Source organism: Homo sapiens, chromosome 1 (genome assembly GCF_000001405.40).
Source record: "Homo sapiens chromosome 1, GRCh38.p14 Primary Assembly".
In the NCBI taxonomy this organism is placed as follows: Eukaryota; Metazoa; Chordata; class Mammalia; order Primates; family Hominidae; genus Homo; species Homo sapiens.
The window spans coordinates 25,364,459-25,385,314 of NC_000001.11; the positions used below are offsets into that span (position 1 = coordinate 25,364,459).

At 45.4% G+C, this 20,856-nt stretch overlaps 1 protein-coding gene across 11 annotated transcripts in view, besides 1 other annotated feature; it reads right to left on the reverse strand.

Moving 5' to 3' along the window:
• Positions 1–20,856, reverse strand: part of RHCE (Rh blood group CcEe antigens) — a 67,955-nt gene that overhangs the window by 2,210 nt on the left and 44,889 nt on the right. For 6 of the 11 annotated variants that reach the window (XM_011541889.4, XM_047427028.1, NM_138616.5 and 3 more), the window contains 2 exon segments: positions 10,891–10,970; positions 6,009–6,082 (listed from right to left, as the gene is read on the reverse strand). The exons of 1 other annotated variant lie outside the window; for it this stretch is intronic. In XM_011541889.4, the coding sequence (XP_011540191.2) occupies positions 6,009–6,082; positions 10,891–10,970 (154 nt within the window). 11 annotated transcript variants of the gene reach the window in all.
• Positions 16,786–16,986: a silencer, noted in NCBI's record as "peak127 fragment used in MPRA reporter construct". NCBI's record gives its function as "represses an SCP1 promoter by STARR-seq MPRAs in K562 erythroleukemia cells {active_cell/tissue: K562}" and the evidence as "EXISTENCE:reporter gene assay evidence [ECO:0000049][PMID:32103011]".

The following is a 20,856-nucleotide window of genomic DNA, read 5'->3' on the forward strand; positions in this document are numbered from 1 at the left end:
TGTACCAAAACAGTAGTGTTTATCTTTCTTGGCAATAAAATCATTTTAAAAAATAAACTGCAAATACTCATTCAGAAGCCAATGGATGATCTTCAGCACATTGCAGTTATTTCAGAACTCGGCCTACATGCTTAATTCGATCACTCTGCTTCACTCTCAAACTTTCATTGTAGGCATTGCTTCCCCACTCAAACCTTTGGGAATTTCCCATTTGCCTGAAGGATGAAATTGAAGTGGCTCTAGCCACCTTTCAGCCTTTTCACACACTGCCGAGCCAGGTTGCTCATGCTGCTTCTGTTCTTGCAGATGCTCCCCACCTGCCCCCCTCCTCTTGCTTGGAATGCCTTGCACTTCCTGCTGCTTAGCCAAATCCAACACAACTCCATGCTCCATTGTCCCCGACCTCCCTATGACCTCTCCCTCCTCTCATTCCAGCAGCTACTGCCAGGATTGCTTGTTTCGTATTTTACATTATTTGTATTTATTTATTTTTTGAGACAGAGTCTCACTCTGTCGCCCAGGCTGGAGTGCAGTGGCGCGATCTCAGCTCACTGTAACCTCCGCCTCCCGGGTTCAAGTGATTTTTCTGCCTCAGGCCCCTGAGTAGCTGGGATTATAGTCACGCACCACCACACCTGGCTAATTTTTTATATTTTTGGTAGAGACGTGGTTTCACCATATTGGCCAGGCTGGTCTTGAACTCCTGACTTGAAGTGATCTGTCGGCCTCAGCCTCCCAAAGTGCTGGAATTACAGGCGACCAGCCAGAATTAGTTTAAGAAGTGCATGTCAGTGAGCCCTTGTGTTTTGCAAAGCATGAAATAAAATCCATGGTTTATTAAACTGAAATAAAGAAGGGAACTGTCTATTCTTTTAATGAAAGCAGAAGACACGTGAAAGATTGTGTTATAAACTGAAGTTTTGGCCGGGCATGGTGGCTCACGCCTGTAATCCCAACATTTTGGGAGGCTGATGTGGGCAGATCACCTGAGGTCAGGAGTTCGAGGCCAGCCTGGCCAACGTGGTGAAACCCTGTCTCTACTAAAACTCCAAAAATTAGCCGTGGTGGCAGGTGCCTGTAGTCCCAGCTACTTGGGAGGTTGAGGCAGGAGAATCACTTGAACCTGGGAGGCAGAGGTTGAAGTGAGCCGAGATCACACCATTACACTCTAGCCTGAGCTATAGAGCAAGACTCTGTCTCAAAAAAATAAATAATAAACTGAATTTTTGTAAATAAGTATCTGGTGAGGACCACTGTAAACTGCAGGAGGATAGGAGATTAGCATATCTGGCTCCTTGAGACCCATAACTATATTTTATTTAGAATTATCTCTCTGGTACTTCACATCGTGTCACAAATTAGGTAATACACGTAGTGGAATGAATTAGCAAATGATGAGTGCATTTTCATAAACCTTCGGAGGATGAGATGGGTGCCCTTGGGGGGTGGTGAGTGCTCCCTCCCAGAAGTGCCAGGCGTGGTCTGGCCAACCAGCGAGGCAGTGGCTGAGCTGGCTTTAATGTCTTTCCAATCCTGGCAGTCAGTTCTATGAAATTCAATGAGTATTTAAAATGTCTTGTTGGATGGTTTGCAAAAAAAAAAAAAATCACCCCTGGATTTATCAGCTTAGCAAGTTTGCATCCTTGCCTCTTTAATGGATATTTGGCTTTCAACTGCAAGCTGAGAATGGTACACTGCCGAATAAATGGTCCTACTCAACTGCGAGAAAACAAGTCAGAAGATTTCTGGGGGTGGGGTGGGGGTGGAATAACTTTTCTCTAGTAACTGTAACCAACGCATATGTGGGGTGTCTTTGGAGCCAAAAGACATCACATTTCTTCTTTTCTATGCATTAGTTCTGTCATTTTGGGCAAGTTACTTAATCTCTCTAGGCCTCCATTTCATCATCTTCAAGACTGAGATACTTACTTTTTTTTTCTCTTTTGAGACATAGCCTTGCTCTGTCACCCAGGCTGGAGTGCAGTGGCGCAATCTCATCTCACTGCAATCTCCATCTCCCGGGCTCAAGCCATTCTCCTGCCTCAGCTTCCCAAGTAGCTGGGATTACAGGCATCCACCACCACGCCTGTCTAATTTTTTTTTGTATTTTTAGTAGAGACAGGGTTGCACCACGTTGACCAGGCTGGTTTCAAACTCCTGATCTCAAGTGATTTGCCCACCTCGGGCTCCCAAAGTGCTGGGATTATAGGCATGAGCCACCGCACCTGGGCGACATACTTACTTTTATGCAGGACTGTTGTGAGGATAAAATCAGGTAATGTGGAAAAGCACCTAGCACAAAATCAGAAACTGTAGGCTTGCAATATGATAGCTCTTATGCTCACACATTCCCTTGTGGTTGGCTAAATCCCTAGTAATAAACTTTCACATTCATGTGGCGGTTTGCATTTTACAGAATGTTGTTACAGACATTATTACCTCACTTGATCTTTGAAATAACCCAGTGAAGTAGCACAAAGATTACTACTCTTATGTTACCAGTGAGAGAGGTCAAGGAACTTGCCTACATAATACATACATTAATATATAATACATTACATAATACATGACATTACAGAATGATGGCCAACATCGGGTTTCCTCATTCCAAATTCACACTCGTTCTAGTTTACCTGTTGCTGCAATGGCTACTGATGGGGTTCGTCAGATTTCCTTAATTTATCCAGCAAATATTTTTTTTCAGAGACAGGATCTCACTCTGTCACCCAGGCTGGAGTGCAGTGGCATGATCATGGTTCTCTGCAGCCTTGGCCTCCTGGGCTCAAGAGATCCTCCCGTCTCAGTAATCCCCAAAGTGCTGGGATTACAAGTGTGAGCCACTGCACCTGACCTATCCAGCAAATATTTATTGCAACTCAAGTGACTGAGCTGGAGATTTCTCCTGTTTGTGCTGTCCTTGGTTGATTAGCATAGTACTTGGTATAGAATAGTTATTCGATAAATACCTGAGGAATGAATGAATAGATTAAACCAATTTTCCGAGTCTTTTCGATAGAGTACCTTGATTCTGCTAAATAGGCAAGAACACTTGCAGGGGATAAAGAGAGATTGGCTGTTGGGAGAAGCCAAGAGCTGACAGCTGCAGAGAGAAGCTGATGAAGTCAGTTACACGCAACAACACGGATGATTCTCAGAATAATCATGCTGAGCAAAAGAGGCCAGACCAAGGGCAGTACGTGCTGCATGATTCCCTTTGTGTAACATTACAGAGGGCTGGGCACAGTGGCTCATGCCTATAATCCCAGCACTTTGAGAGGCCAAGGCAGGAGGATTGCTTGAACCCATGAGTTCGAGACCAGCCTAGGTAATACGGTGAAACCCCATCTCTACAAAAAAATACAAAAATTAGCCTGCCATGGTGGCCTACACCTGTGGTCCTAGCTACTCAGGAGGCTGAGGGGGGAGGATCTCCTGAGCCTGGGGAGGTTGAGGCTACAGTGAGTCATGATGGTGCCACTGCATTACGGTGTGGGTGGCGGAGTGAGACCCTGTCTCAAACAAAAAAATTACAGAAAACGCAAACCTTAGTGACAGAAAGTAGTTCAGTGGTTGCCTTTGGGTGGGACCAGGTGGGTAGGAAGGGAGGAATTTCAAAGGAGCAGGAGGAAGTGTGTGGAAGTGATGGGTGTGCTCCTTGTCTTGATGGTGGTGATGGTCTCTTCAGTGTATAAATACGTTAAAATGTATCAAATTATATACTTTTGTGATACCCTAACTTGTATTAACTTGATTGACTCTCTCTTAGCTAAGAAAGCCGGAGGGATTCCATTCGGCTCCTTCATTTGCAAGACGTTAAGGGCTCCTTACCCACCCCCTTCCTCAAGGACTTAACTTGTGCAAGCTGACTCCCAGCACATCAAAGAGTGCAATTAGCTGATAAGGTACTGTGGCAAGCTGTGTCCGCAGTTCCCAGGAATTTGCCCGGGTGATAGTACTCTAGTGCCCCTGCGTTTGTGTCCGGCAGATAGCACCCAGAGCCCCCGCACCTGTCACCTTGTGATGGCTTTAAAGCTCCTGCACCTGGAACTGTTTGTTTTCCTGTAACCATTTGTCTTTTTAACTTTTTTGCCTGTTTTACTTCTGTAAGATTGCTTCAGCTCAATTCCCCCTCCCCTTTCTAAACCAAGGTATAAAAGAAAATCTAGCCCCTTCTTTGGGGCCGAGAGAATTTTGAGCACTAGTCGTCTCTAGGTCGCCGGCTAATAAAGGACTCCTGAATTAGGCTCAAAGTGTGGTGTTTCTCTGTAACTCACTTGGTTACAACACTTTAAATATGTACAATTGTTTTGTTTTGTTTTTGAGGCAAAGTCTCGCTCTGTCACCCAGGCTGGAGTGCAGTGGCATGATCTCAGATCACTGCAAACTTCGCTTCCCAGGTTCAAGTGATTCTCCTGCCTCAGCCTCCCGAGTAGCCGGGATTACAGGCAGCTGCCACCACGCCTGGCTAATTTTTGTAGTTTTAGTGGAGACGGGGTTTCACCGGGTTGCCCAGGCTGGTCTCAAACTCCTGACCTCAAGTGATCCACCCGCCTTGGCCTCCCAAAGTGCTGGGATTACAGGCGTGAGCCACCATACCCAGCCTAAATATGTACAATTGATTGTATGCCAGTTACACCTCAAAAAGCTATTTGAAGAGGAAGAAGAAGAGAAAGGAGAGGAAGGAGAAGGAAAAGAAGGGGCAGGGTCTCTCCCCAGGTCCTCTCTGCTTGACCCCTCATGCACAGGTGTCCAGGCCCATAATAAGGCTGCTTCTCTGTCTCTTTAGTGAGCAACATCTTGGATGCTGGGTGGGGCAAGCATTGGCCTGGGACTCAGAAGGCCTGGGTTCCGGTCTTGGATCTGCCACTCACAAAGGCACAACACCGGGCAGCAGCCTGACCACTGTTGGCCTGGACTTGCTGTGACAATACTGGTCCCTGCTGGTCCAGCCTACCCACAGCATTGACTAGAGGATGGCCTAAGGGGACACATCAGAGTGCTGCGTGAACTATGAGTGTAGGTCAAAGGGAGGAGAGTGGGAGGGGAGGCAGGGAGTGAGCTCCAACCTTCTTCACCTTCTTTCTAGCCCAGTCACAACAACAAATGCTACAATGTAACACGGGACCCTCAGCAGCTGCTGAGCTGTTTGAACTTTATGTCCCTTTGCTAAGTGACCTCAGACTCCTGTACTACAATTTTTTTGTGCCTGCTTGTTATCATTTATCAAGAGCTGTGTTCAGGACTCAGCCTGGATACTCACACACTGTAAGAATTTTTTTTTTTTTTTTTTTTTTTTGAGACAGAGTGTCAGCTCTTGTCACCCAGGCTGGAGTGCAGTGGCGCAATCTCAGCTCACTGCAACCTCTGCCTCCTGATTTCAAGCGATTCTCTTGCCTCAGCCTCCTGAGTAACTGGGATTACAGGCATGTGCTACCACGCCCAGCTAACTTTTGTATTTTTAGTAGAGATGGGGTTTTGACACGTTGGCCAGGCTGGTCTCGAACTCCTGGCCTCAGGTGATCGCCCCACCTCAGCCTCCCAAAGTGCTGGGATTACAGGCGTCAGCCACCGTGCCCAGCCAGTTGTAAGATCTTGATAAGTCATGTCTCCACTCTTAGCATCTGTCAAAAAAGGGGTTGGACTCCAAGGCTTGAGGTTTCTTCCAGCTTTTGCATTGCGGGGTTCTGTCACCCGCATGTCAAACTATTTGGCTACGCTGAGGACTGCAGATAGCGGGAGGGGAAGTGTGGCCAGTGAAAGCTGTCTCATCCCTGACTCTGAATGAATTTGAGGTATCAGGGAAATGGTGACCTTTACCACCTCCCCGCCACCCTCCCCCACACACATGCATATCATGGATTTGTTTCTCCTCTAGTTCCTCCTGCAATGCTCCTTACTCCATTTTTGTTTTTGTTTTACTCATAAACAGCAAGTCAACATATATACCCAGGTATGTTTTTAAGTTCATGCACTCAAAATCTATCACGTTAATAGGTGAAAAATCTTACCTTCCAGAAAACTTGGTCATCAAAATATTTAGCCACATGAGGTGCTTTCCATATTTTGAGATTTAGGAGCAAACCTGTTTAAATGCATAATTTAATGTTAAAAGATTTGGAGCACAGGATTTTTAATCTCAAGATTAATCAAAATATTGTGTGTGTCAAAACGACAGTGTCTCAACAGAAATCCTTTTTCTCCCACAATTGAAAGACAAATAAATGGACGCCCTGTCATTCCTGGACCAGCTTAATTCTGTAGACTATTTTATTTTATTTTATTTTATTTTATTTTATTTTATTTATTTTGAGACAGAGTCTCACTCTATCACCCAGGCTGGAGTACCGTGGCATGATCTCGGCTCACTGCAGCCTCTGCCTCCCAGGTTCAAGCGATTCTCCTGCCTCAGCCTCCCAAGTAGCTAAGATTATAGGCGCCTGCCACCACATCCAGCTAATTTTTTTTTTTTTTTTTTTTTAGTAGGATGGGGTTTCACCATGTTGGCCAGGCTGGTCTCGAACTCCTGACCTCAGGTGATCCACCCACCTCAGCCTTCCAAATTGCTAGTATTATAGGCATAAGCCACCACACCCGGCCGATTCTGTAAACAATTTTTTTTTTTTTGAAAAAAAGAACTGGGAATGGCAGTGTACTGAGCAGTACATGAGAGCCACAGATCTGACGCCCTTCCCCAGACGGAGTAGAAGGGCCCCACGAAAGCTGATCCATGTAAGACATATGGGCTACTATGGAGGGCGACTCCAGTTGGGTGCTCCTATAGGTCTGTCTTCTCTGGCTCCAGTCAACTCCTGGGAACCTCAGCTTAAGATTCCACTTGTGTAGTTAGGAAAGTAGCTTATAACTTGCTTAAGTGCCTGTCCTTCCTTTTCCCCATCTTTTTAAGTGTCTTTGATTTTATTTTTTATTTTTGGAACAGGGTCTCATTCTGTTATCCAGGCTGGAGTGCAGTGGCACAATCACAGCTCATTGCAGCCTCAAACTCCCAGGCACAAGCAACCCCCCCACCTCAGCCTCCCAAGTAGCTGGGACCACAAGTGTGTGCTACCATACCCAGCTCATTTTTTTGTATTTTTTGCAGAGACGGGGTTTAGCCATGTTGCCCAGGCTGGTCTTGAACACCTGAGCTCAAGTGATCTGCCCGCCTTTGCCTTCTAAAGGGCTGCAATTACAGGTGTGAGCCACTGTGCCCAACCTCCATTCCCTGTCTACTCTCTGCCCAGGTAGCTTGGCCATATGTATTCCTCCAGCTTCCCGAAGCTGGCTGAATTTCACAGGACACATGGAATGAGTACTTCCTTTCACAGGAAGCAAGGAAATGCTCCTGATAGATTTATCTGTGTATTATTAAGGATGATCAGTTCCAGTGTCGTTAACAAGAATGGGTGAGTGCTTAGTGAGATTCGTATTTCCCTTTCGTGGTGCTGCTTTTAGCAGATATTGGCATGCAGGGTACAACCAGCATGACGCAGTTATTAGCTTGAATTACTCAGTAATGATCTCTGGCGCCTGCATGAATTTTCCAGATAGCTGAGGCTTACTCATCACTGAGGAATATCTGTCTAAAATATATTTTGTCTTCTGAGACAACATTAAACATATTTAGACTTTTTAAAAAAAAAATCAGAACCATCACTAGGAACACCCACTTATAACGTGCCATATAACGTGGAAAAGGTTTGTAGCCGTGGAGGGTTGTTGGTCTAATCTCTCAGCAGCCCAAGCGTTTTGTGTTCTTGTGTCCAGTTTTAAGAATTTGTTGGCCGGGCACAGTGGCTTATGCCTGTAATCCCAGCACTTTGGGAGGCCAAGGTGGGCGGATCACCTGAGGTCAGGAGTTCGAGACCAGCATGACCAACATGGAGAAACCCTGTCTCTACTAAAAATACAAAATTAGCCGGGCGTGGTGGTGCATGCCTGTAATCCCAGCTACTCAGGAGGCTGAGGCAGGAGAATCACTTGAACCCAGGAGGCGGAGGTTGCGTTGAGCCGAGATAGCGCCATTGCACTCCAGCCTGGGCAACAAGAGCAAAACTCCGTCTAAAAAAAAAAAAAAGAATTTCTCTTCCTCTGTTAGGCTCTTTGCTTTCACTTCTAACTTCTGCTGGTGTACTTTACCTCTAGAAACCTAGCCCACCTCTAATCTGCTATTTCTAATCTACCTGGGCTGAGAAACCCAATAACTATGCTTGATAGGATTGTTCCTTAAATAAGTATAGACAGGCCCACAGAGGGCTCAATTAACAAGTTAAATGCTTGGCTTCTGGGAGTCCATTTGGTGCAATTTTGGCTTCTTGAGGAACTTTCTCCCCCTTCCATTGTCCAAGTTGTTTTGTTTCCTTTTTTGAGACAGGGTCTTGCTCTGTTGTCCAGGCTGGAGTGCAGTGGCACGATCTCAGCTCACTGCAACTTCTGCCTCCCAAGCTCAACTGATCCTCCCATCTCAGCCTCCGGAGCAGCTGGGACTACAGGTGTACCACCACACCTGGCTAATTTTTGTATCTTTTGTAGAGATGGGGTCTCACTATAGGATTGCCCTGGCTTGAACTCCTGGCCTCAAGCTATTCTCCCACCTCAGCTTTCCAAAGTGCTGGGATTACAAGTATGAGCCACCCAAGTTGTTTTTAATCACCAGTTTGCTCATGTCAAAAACAACATGTAAAGAAGAAAGCTTGTTGGTCTTAACTCTTAAAGGAACAATATGATTGTCTTTTCCTCTATTCTCTTTTTTGACTCCAGTGAAGCATAAGAAAAGACCCCCGGGTACTTTGCAAGACAGAGGGCAAGTCAGCACCACTTCGAATATACCAGTGATAACAGTGAATAGTGTGAGTCCCAGGACAGGGTTGCCAAATAAAATGCAGGATACCCAATTCATTGCGAATTTAAAAACAGACACCTTGCATTTTTGCTAAATCCGGCAGCCTTTCCCAGGGTTGGATTGCCAGCTGCCACGAACTGAACGTTAACTTACGGAATTAACTCTACTCCGCCTCTGCTTCTTCACACAGACTCTGCCAAAAGCTAAGGCCAGACATTGGTATATTAAAGCAATTCTAGCCAATCTCACACTCAAAAATTACCCAAGTAACTCCAAAATGTACCTCCATACAGTTTGTTAAAGCTGGAAGGAAGCCAGCTTAGTTACCATAATCCTTTCATTTTACAGAGAAGCTAACCAAGGCTCAGAGGGAGTGAAGTGACATGCCCAATGTCACCACACAACTCATAGTGTCTTACGCCATTTGTCTCTTATTTGGCATCCACCTCCTGCTTAGGGACACATATATGGGTGTCTAACCAATAAAAGATGTTTGCTTGTAGAATAACAAGTTCTGGATGGAATGTATATTTTCTTTCTTTTTTTTTTTTTTGAGACAGTCTCACTCTGTCACCTAGGCTGGTGCAACCTTGGCTCACTATAACCTCCACCTCCTGGGGTCAAGCCATTCCCCTACTTCAGCCTCCCGAGTAGCTGGGACTACAGGCACACACCACCACGCCTGGCTAATTTTTGTATTTCTGGCAGAGACAGGGTTTTCCCATGTTGGTCAGGCTGGTCTCGAACTCCTGACCTCAGGTGATCTACCTGCCTCAGCCTCCCAAAGTGCTGGGATTACAGGCGTGAGCCACTGTGCCTGGCCTGAATGTGTATTTTCTTTTTTTTTTAGACAGAGTCTCGGCCCACTGCAACCTCTGCCTCCCGGGTTTAAGCAATTCTCCTGCCTCAGCCTCCCAAGTAGCTGGGATTACAGGTGCCCACCACCACGCCTGGCTAATTTTTTAATTTTTAGTAGAGACAGGGTTTCACCATGTTGGCCAGGCTGGTCTTGAATCCTGACCTCAGATGATCTGCCCACTTCGGTCTCCCAAACTGCTGCAATTACAGGTATGAGCCACTGCACCTAGCCACATATTTTCACCTGGCATATAAGTAAAACTGGCTAATTAGCAACTCCCCTAGATTTTTTGCTTTTCTATTGTATTGCAAGAACAGAAACATACTTTTCCCCTTTGTTGAAAGATCTCCAGTGGCTTCCCATCTTTTATAAGGGCCTGCTCCTCACTACCATTCTGCCCTCAACCCCTGCTGCTCCTTCTCACTCCATTCACACCAACCACACTGGTCTCCTTACTGTTCCCTCAACACACAAAGCATGCTGCTGTCTCAGGGCCTTTGCACTTGCTATCCTATTTTCATGGAATGTTCTTCCCCTAACTAAATGCATCGCATATCTCCCTCCTCTTCATTGGGGTCTCTGCTTAAAAGCTAACTACTCAGATAAGCTTTCCCTGACCACCCCCCTAAAAGAACACCCCATCCCACATTGACTCTATGTTTCTCTAGTTTGCTCTGTCTTCACAGCCACTTCTTCCCATCTGGCGTAGTAGACACTTATTTGTCTATTTATTGCTAATACCTTCCCCCACTAGAAGGTCAATTCCATGGGGTCAGGGAATTTGTTTTGCTCACTGCTGTGTCCCCAGTGCCTGGCTCATAGTGGATATTGAATAAATATCTGTTGAATAAAATAGTATTATGGGTGTCCTCAGAAATAAAAGGTAGGCTTTTGGGTGTAAGGATTTTCTCGGGCTTCTGTGCAAAACTGAGTGTGATCACCAGCCCTGGGTTCAAAAGTCTGCAACGTTGCCACTCACCCTACTTATAACCTCAGGGATGTCCCTTCCCTGCCCTGGCCTCACAGTCCACATTAGCAGCAGGTGACCTCTAAGAACCTTTCCAATTCTGAAATTATGTGATCCTCAGGGAAGGAGATGGGGCACATAGACATCCAGCCACACGGCAGGGTGCGCTCTGGACGTGGGTGCTGTGTCCTGGCAATGGTGGAAGAAAGGTGGCCTCACACTGACCTGTCAGGAGACCAGACGTGAGAGCTATCACGATGGCCAAGCTGAGTTCCCCAATGCTGAGGAGGACCTGGAAGCCAATCCTAGAAATGACAAAGCAGAGGTGGTCACTTGGGCATCAGGCAGCAGAGGTCATCAGGGACAAAAAGGACTGTCGGTGTCAGTAGTGCCATTGCCAGGAAGGGCCATGAGGAAAACAAGGGTCCTCTCCCTGGCTGGTACATTCCCCTGGCATTTTCCCAAAAAGCCACGCAGACATGTGGGAGGGAGGGAGGCGACGGAGATTCCAAGATTGTGGCTTATTTTAGTTCCCAGCACCTCATGGATAATGAACCAGACCAGGAGTCAGAAAACCCAAGCTCAAGTCCCAGCTCTGTCACTTACTAGCTGCAAGACCCTGGGCAAGTCCTTTAACCTCTCAGAGCCTCCAGTTTTCTCTCTCTCTCTTTTTTTTTTTTTTTTTTCTGTTTTTGTTTGTGAGATGGAGTCTCACTCTGTCGTCCAGACTGGAGTGCAGTGGTCGGCTCACTGCAACCTCTGTCCCCCAGGTTCAAGCGATTCTTGTGCCTCAAGTAGCTGGGACTACAGGCATGCGCCACCATACCTGGATAATTTTTGTATTATTAATAGAGACGGGGTTTCACCATGTTGACCAGGCTGAACTCGAACTCCTGACCTCAAGTGATCTGCCCGCCTTGGCCTCCCAAATTGCTGGGATTACAGACATGAGCCACCACATCTGGCCAGCCCCAGTTTTCTCGTTAGGCAATTAAAGATGAAGGTTCTATTTCTCTTGGGGCAAGGTGGGTGGGGTAGAGCTTGGCTTTCAGACCCATCTCCCCTGCCCATCCCTACCCCTTGAACATACTTCCAGGATCTCTCTCCTTCAAGGCAACCCCAGGGGTTCAATTCAAACATTAAGCTATTACGGGGGCCCCTGGATGCTGAATGTGATTGTCCCAGGGTTCAGCATGCACCTGGGCACTGCCAGCCCGTTCACTGCAGCCCCACGGATAGTTGTACACAACAAGCCAGTTTTTTAAGCCTTTCCTATTTCTTGTCTCAACAGGTGGGCAGCTCATGTTCTCATTTTTAAGACAAAGGAAAGCTCCAAGCCTGCAGCCTCATGGGGTGGACCCCACCTTGTATGTCATTTGGTTATCTTCCCTGTCTTTACTGATTGTTCATTATAAAGTGGGAGAAATAATCACAGTCCCTACCTCATAAGATCATAGGAGAGTGGAGAGAATTAAAAAGAATTACCTGCAGACTAGAAAAATAAATTAAGGCCGGGTGTGGTGGCTCACACCTGTAATCCCCGCACTTTGGGAGGCCGAGGCGGGTGGATCATGAGGTCAGGAGATGGAGACCATCCTGGCTAACACAGTGAAACCCCTTCTCTACTAAAAATACAAAACATTAGCCGGGAGTGGTGGCAGGTGCCTGCAGTCCCAGCTACTCAGGAGGCTGAGGCAGGAGAACGGTGTGAACCCAGGAGGTGGAGTTTGCAGTGAGCTGAGATCACGCCACTGCACTCCAGCCTGGGCAACAGAGCAAGACTCCATCTCAAAAAAAAAAGAGAAAAGAAAAATAAATTAAAAAGATAAAAAGAGTTGCCACCCTGCTGCTCTTGTAGGGAGTGCAGATGTCAACAACTACCTGCCCAACCATTCAGGCAGCCATCCCCCCTTCCGTGTGGCAAGCTCCAGGCCCTCATCTTTGCCATCTTTGTATATATTCAATAGTTTGCTTCCTCCCCAGCTCCAAACACAGTTCAGGTTATCAAAACCTCAGGGAAATGTTTGTTGAATGACTGAAAAATGGAGTCAATTACTCAATTCATTGATCTAAAATTAAGTGATTTTTAGAAAAAAATTCAGGGGGACATATGCATGACCTTGCAAATTTCTTTTTTTTTTAGATGGAGTCTTGCTGTGTCACCAGGCTGGAGTGCAGTGGCGTGATCTCAGCCTCCCGAGTAGCTGAGACTACAGGCAAGAGCCACAACGCCCAGCTAATTTTTTGTATTTTTAGTAAGGACAGGGTTTCACCATGTTGGCCAGGATGATCTCGATCTCTTGACCTTGTGATCTGCCAGCCTCAGCCTCCCAAAGTGCTGGGATTACAGGTGTGAGCCACCGAGCTGGCTGCAAAAATTCTTAAACAGGACATAAAAGAACTAAGCATAAAGGGAACAATGATAAATTGGGCTATATTAAAATTAAGAACCTCCTTGTTCAAAAGACACCATTAAGAAAGTAAAAGGTGGGCTGGGCATGGTGGCTCACACCTGTAATCCTGGCACTTTGGGAGGCCAAGGTGGGCCAAAGTTGAGGCTAGGATTCAAGATCAGCCTGGCCAACATGGCAAAACCCTGTCTCTACCAAAAATTATTTTGTCTATACAAAAATTCGGTGGGCATGGTGGCATGCACCTGTAATCTAAGCTACTCAGGAGGCTGAAGTATGAGAATTGCTTGAACCTGGGAGGCAGAGGTTGTAGTGAGCTGAGATAGCGCCACTGCATTCCAGCCTGGGTGACAGAAGGAGACTCTGTTTCAAAAAGAAAGAAGGAAAAAGGTAAGCCACATAGTGGGATTCATATCCAGGATATGTAAGGAATTCCTAAAATCAATAAGAAAAAGACAGAACACCACAATAGAAAATGGGCAAACTAACTTGAATAGACATTTCACAAGAAAAGATATTCAACTGTCCAAAAAGCATATTAAAAGTGCTCCATTTAGTTAGTTATTGGAGATATCAAAATGTAAAAAATAGGTTTCACTGCTAAATGACTAATCAAAAAGAAGGAAAACACCAAGTGTTAACAAAATGTGGAGTAAAAGGAGCTTCTATACACTACTGGTGATTAGATTGGCGCAAACTACTAGAGAAAACTGTTTAGCAGTAGCCACTAAGGCTGACTGTGTGAATACTGTATAACTCAACAATTTCACTTCTAGGCATATAATCAACAGAAGTGCATTCGTGTGCTCCAAAAACAAAAGTGCTAGAATGTTCAGAGGAGCAATACTAGAATATTCATAATAGCTCCAAACTGGAAACTACCCAAATCCTCCTCAATAATGGATAAATAAATTCTGCTGCATTCACACAATGGAACACTTGTTCCAACTATCTTTTCTTAGATTCTCGATTTGTCTATCCGGCATTCATTTATGACAGGGCCACACTAATGGCCAAAGTTGTTTATCTCGTTTTCTTGCAAGTCAGCTTTCTCAGGCATGGGAAACTCATATTATAAACCCCTCAGCTACAAATTCCAACATATGTGTTTTCACTTCCTGCCCATTAGTGGATGCCCTCACCCAGTTACTCTCCCACCACTCTTTTTCATAAAGGCATAGGCCCAGTTCCCCCTCTCTTTCTGCTGCCTGGTCCCTGGATGACACAGTTTTGTGTGGCCCTGCAAGACGTGTTCTGCCTCTTTTTTACAGGGGAACTGTGAACAACAAAACTTTCCTTCCAATAATACTGGAAGAAAATGCCACTCAGTCACCTTTATAAATTAAGACCCAAGCATGACAGAACACTATATCCCAGTGGAAAAAAAGTACAGCAATGCTTAACAACCTGGATGAATCTCACAACTACAATGTTGAGTAAAAGAAGCATACAAAAGCACAGACTTACTGTATGATTCCATGTATATTATCTCAGTTCACTTTCTGTTGCTATAACAGAATACCACAGAATGGGTAATTTATAAAATAATTATATATAGCTCATGGTTCTGGAGGCTGGGAAGTCTAAGAGCATGCTGCTGGCATCTGTTGAGGACCTTCTTGCTGTGCCATAACATGGCAGAGGGTATCACATGGCAAGAGGGCAAGAGCATGTCAGCTCAGGTCTCTCTTCCTCTTGTAAGCCACCAGTCTCATCATAGGGGCCCCACCCTGATGACTTTATCTAATCCTAGTTACCTCCCAAAGGCTTCACCTCCAATTTCATCAACATATGAATTTGGAGATTAAGTCTCCAACACATGAAATTTGAGGGATGCATTCAAACCATAGCATTCTGCCCCAGCCCCCAAAATGCATGTCCTTCGTACATGCAAAATTCATCCCAATAGCACCAAAGTATATATATATATATATATATATATATATATATATATATATATATTTTTTTTTTTTTTTTTTTTTTTTTTAAAGATGGGATTTTGCTCTATCATCCAGGCTGGAATGCAGTGGCATGATCATAGCTCACTGCAGCCTCAAACTCCTTGGCTCAAGTAATCCTCCTGTCTCAGCCTCCTGAGTAGCTAGGACTACAGACGTGTGCCACCATCTCCAGCTACGTTTATTTAATCTTATTTGTAGAGACAGAGTCTCACTCTGTTGCCCTGGCTGGAATGCAGTGGCACGACCATAGCTCACTGCAGCCTCAAACTCCTGGGCTCAAGTGATCCTCTCACCTCAGCCTCCTGAGTAGCTAGAATTACAGGCACATGCCACAATACCTGGCTAACTTTTTATTTTTATTTTTGTAGAGACAGGTCTCACTATGTTGCCTAGGCTGGTCTTGAACTCCTGGGCTCAAGCAATCCTCCCACCTCAGCCTCCCAAATCACTGGGATTACAGGCATGAAACACCACACTTAGACAACCCCCAAAGTCTTAACTTGTTCCAGCACCAACTCAAAATTCCAAAGTCCATGGTCTCATCTAAATCAGATGTGGGTGAGACTTAAGGTACAATTCATTCTATGGGAGATTCCCTCTGGCTGTAAGCCTGTAAAGTCAAAACAAGTTATTGACTTCCAAAATACAACAGTGGAACAGGCATAGGACAGACATTCCCATTCTAAAAGGAAAAAGAGGCAAGGGAAAAAGGGTAACTGGTTCCAGGAAAGTACAAAACCCAACATAGAAAACAACATTAAACCTTAAACCTTCAGAATGATCTTTTACTCTGTGTGCCACCTCCTGGACACACTATGGAATTTGGACCCCCGAAGCTTCGGGGAGCTCTGCCCCTGTGGTTTTGCTGGGTTCTGCCCATGTTGCACTTCGCACAGGTTGGAGTCTCATGCCTGCAGTTCTCCCAAGCTGGCATTGCACTATGATAGCTCTACCATTCTGGGGTCTTGGCGGTGGCCCCACCCTTGTAGCTCCACTAGACCTTGCTCTACTAGGGGCTCTCTGGGGTGGCCGTTCACAGCACCCTTTGAAATGTAGGTGGGAGAAGGCATGCCCCCTCAGCTTTTGCATTCTGCACACCTGCAAAATTAGTGCCATGTGTATGCTGCCAAGGTTTATGACTTTTACCTTCCACATCACACCTGTGGCCACTTGAACCACAGCTGGGATGGCTGAGGAATGCTGCACCAGAAATGTGGGGAGCAGAGACCCAAGGCAGCCCTGGGCAGCAGCTGGTCATTCCAAACCATTCTGCCCTCTTAGAGCTCTGGGCCAGTAATGGGAGGGGCAGTCTTGAAGATCTCTGAAATGGCTTTGGAGTTTTTCTCCCTTGTCCTGATGAACAGCCTCTGGCTTTGTTCTATGTGTACTAATTTTCTTTCTTCCTTTTTTTTTTTTTTTTTTTTGAGATGGAGTCTCGCTTTGTCGCCCAGGCTGGAGTGCAGTGGCGCGATCTCGGCTCACTGCAAGCTCTGCCTCCCGGGTTCATGCCATTCTCCTGCCTCAGCCTCCCATGTAGCTGGGACTACAGGCGCCCACCACCACGCCTGGCTAATTTATGTGTACTAGTTTTCTTATCAATCGGTAGCTTGGTCACACTCTCAGTTTTCTCAGCTGAAAATGTTCTTTCATTCTCTACAACATGGGTGACCTACGGATTTTCTGCTTTCCATAAATGACTCTGGCACAGACAAAGTTCAGCTAAGATCTTTGCTTCTTTATAAAAAGGATGACCTTTGCTCCAGTTTCCAACACGTGGTTCTTCAGTTCCATCTGAGACCTCATCAGAATGGCCTTCACCAGCCACATTTCTATCAGCATTCTGATCTCAACGACTTCAGTAACCATTAAGAAGTTCCAGACTTTCCCTAGTTCTGGGGTCTTCTTTTAAGCCCTCACCAGAACTGTAGAACTGTCTTTAATGCTCCATTCTTTTTCTTTTTCTTTTTTTTTTTTTTTTGAGTTGGAGTTTTGCTCTTGTTGCCCAAGCTGGAGTGCAATAGCACGATCTCAGCTCACTGCAACCTCTGCCTCCTGGGTTCAAGTGATTCTCCTGCTTCAGCCTCCTGAGTAGCTGGGATTACAGGTGTGCGCCAGAGTGCCCAGCTAATTTTTTGTATTTTTGGTAGAAACAGCGTTTCACCATGTTAGCCAGGCTGGTCTCGAACTCCTGACCTCAGGTGATCCACCTGCTTTGGCCTCCCAAAGTGCTGGGATTATAAGTCTGAGCCACCGTGCCTGGCCTAATGCTCCATTCTTGACAATACAGGCTTTTTCTAGCCTGCTCCTCAAAACTCTTCCAACCTATTCCCATCACCCAGTTCCAAAGCCACTTCCACATTTTCAGGAATCTGTTACAGTAAAAACTCTACTTCTTGCATTAATTTTCTTTCTTTGTCCATATTCTGTTGCTATGACAAAATATCAAACTGGGTGATTATAAAGAAAATAAATTGATTTAGCTCACAGTTCTAGAGGCTGGGAAGTCCAAAAGCATGGTGCCACCATCTGGTGAGGGCCTTCTTGCTGCATCATGACATGGAGAAGTCATCACACGGTGAGAGGGCAAGAGCATGCCAGCTCAGATTTCTCTTTCTCTTCTTATAAGTCACCAGTGCCATCATACCTCACCCCATGACCTTATCTAATCCTAATTACTTCCCAAAGGCCCTTCCTCCAAATAGCATCAACATATGAATTGAAGGATTAAGTTTCTAGCACATGAAATTTGGGGGACACATTCAAACCATCACATATATAATGTACAAAAACAGACAAAACTGACTGATGCTGTTAGAAGTCAGGTTAGTGGTTATCCTGGAATGAGACAAGAAGAGGTTCTGGGTGTTGGTTATGTGGGGATATCAGAAGATTCATCAAATGGTACTTGTATGATATTTGCACTTTTCTGGATATAGCTTATACTATATAAGTTGGGTTTTTTTTTTTAAGTAATAAGTGGCAGAATAGAGGATAAACCCAAACCTGCTGACTGCCACCCCACAACTCATTCTATATGATGCTGTCTGGAAAAAGAAATGAATGAAGCAGAAATCCATCACCATGATAACAGTCTCCCTGCACAGGGTCTCCCCTGGCCAGACCCTCAGCTCAACACATGTCCTCACAGCAGCCCTGTGAGTGAGCTATTAATGTCCCTATTTCACAGAGGACAAGTTCAGGTTAGGGAAGTGAACCAAGAATTCCAATGTTTTGTGGCTCGGAATGAGTGGCTCTTGGGATTCAAACTAGGAAGGCCTGTCCACAAAGCTTGGCCAGATGCTTCCCAGATTTCAGCATTTGAGGACAACATTCATGAATTTAGCCATACTGGCATTCCAGAGATGCTATTAAAAATTTTTTTTCTCCAAATAGACTTATTTTTACATTTAAATAAATGAATTTAAAAGAAAACTGTGTTACTAGCTTGAAATAGAAGGGAAATGGGAGGTAGCTGTAAAAAGAGATACAATGAAAACAAAATGTTGCTAAAATCTCTCCCAGATATGGCAGTCTGAGGTTTTCTCTGCTATTCAAAAGAGTGGTTAACAAGAGCTAGAAGGGTGCAGAGATTCTCAGCCCAAGTGGGGACTTTCTTTTCTCCCTGATGTAATCAAAGGACTGAGAATTGAAAAAGAGTATCTGCAACTGCATGATTCAATGCCATTTCAGTGTGCCTTCCCATCACTTAAAAATCCCACAGTTTGTGGGAAATGCTCCATCCTGGCTCTGATCACAGCATCTGACTCAGTCACATATGCTCATCTGAATAGGAAATTGGGAAATATTGTTTGTGGAATTAATGCAAAGTCAACTGACTTGCCCAATGCCACCAAGTAGCTAATCCACAGTTCCCATTAAGTGCTGTGACTTTGCACTTAATCCTCTCTCCATCTTTCCATTACATAGAGATGTCCCCATACTGATGCAGCATCAGTCATCATAAAGAACGGGGCTATGTTCTATTGCTAAATCTGCACAGCAACCCTGTGACATAGGACTTATTTTCCCATTTTACAGATAGAAAACTGAGATTTAGGGAGTTTGAGTACCAGGACTAAGGCTGCATGACTGGCTTCACCACTGGTGAAGCCCACGCCTTTTACTCTCAGCAAACCAAAGACTTCCGGAAGAGAGATCATCACTGTCACTATGCCCTTCCCTTTGCCTGGGTCCTGCAAAGGCAAGAGGATAACTGCTTCTTGGTCCTCAACTCACTCACCCTGATGAGAGTTGACTTGCAGGGATGTGCTGGAGCCAGTTCCCATAGGCTCAGTGGGCTGATTGTTCTCATCTCTTCCCAAGTCCATGTGCAGTGACGTCTCCTTGATAGCTTGAACTCAGTCATGTGGGAAGCGTTTGTACCATAGAAATTGCAAGTGCTACCAATCAAGGCTTTATTTTCATGGAAAGCCAGTTGTTAAGTTAATCCTCTACCAGCAAACCACTGATTGGCTTTTTCTTTTTTGGCTATAGGTCAGTGGTTCTAAAACTTGAGCTTGCAAGAGAACACTTGTGGGGCTTGTTCAAACATGGACTGATAGGTCCCACCCCCAGATTTCTAACTGGGTAGGTCTGGGGTGGGGCCGTAGGTAGGGCTTGCATTTCTAACAAGTTTCCAAGTGATGCAGGTGCTGTGGAGAACCAATGCTTCCAGAGAACCACAGAATCACAGAATTGGGAATCTAGGCAGCCCACAAGCAGAATTTAGCCACACAGTGTTACTAACAATCTTGAATTTTCTGCCAGTACTTGGGAGAGCACATGCAAAACTCTAGATTTTGAGCTCTTGAGAAGTCATTGGATCTGGCAACACTGAGCCTGGGTCCCTGCACTGTGATGGTGGGTGCAAGCTGAAGAGCTCCCTTCCTTCACTGGCTTTTTTTTTTTCTAACTTCCCCTGCCTGTTCTCTACAGGCATCTGAGTAGGACCTTGCTAGGTCAAGTCCTCATCTTACAGAGGGGAACTCTCAGGCCCAGAGACAGGAAAGGTTCTGCTTAGAATTGCACAGTTATTAAGACAGTGGCAGACACATCACTGGAACCCATTACAGAGGCACCTTGCTTCACACAGCTCATCCCCTCCTCATCCCAAGCAAGGATGTCTCACCCACTGATATGTGATCCCTATAATTTGGGGCTATGGTTGTCTCTGTAGAAGGCATCCAAGAACCGGAAGGAACCCCAGCGCCTCCATGATTTCTCTGAGACACGTCCAAACACATCAGCTCCTCATCACCTGCTTCAGCCATTTTTACAGCCAGGTTCCAGCCGGGTGACCTTGGGCAGATAACTTCTCTTAAATCTCATTTCTTAGAGTCTGAGAATACCTCAGTAGGCGGTTGTGAGAATTCAAGGAGATAATGCATATAATGGTTTCTAGCACAATGCCCAACACTTTTAAAGCAGTCAATAACAGTAGTAAATGTTATCAGTGAATATGATTATCATCATGCTATCAGTTCATCTCTAAAAATCTATCCCTATATCGTGCCCAATTCACTTTTTCATTTTATATAAGCCATGTCCAGAAAATATTCACACAACATCCAGGAAGTAATGGCTAGGGCTCTGGTGTGTCAAACTGACCATTGCTGTCCACTGTCTAGGGGCCACAGGACCTACCTCTGGTCTGGAGGCCCACATTCCCACCTCACAGTGAGACCTCAGCCGAGGCCCACCCTTCTCTGGGCCTCAGGGATGGGTTGTGCTTAGCATGTCCCTGCATTAGCTTATTAAATCCAGTAGCATCCCAACAGCCCTGTGAGGGGAGATAGTATCCTTATCTCCATTTACAAGGG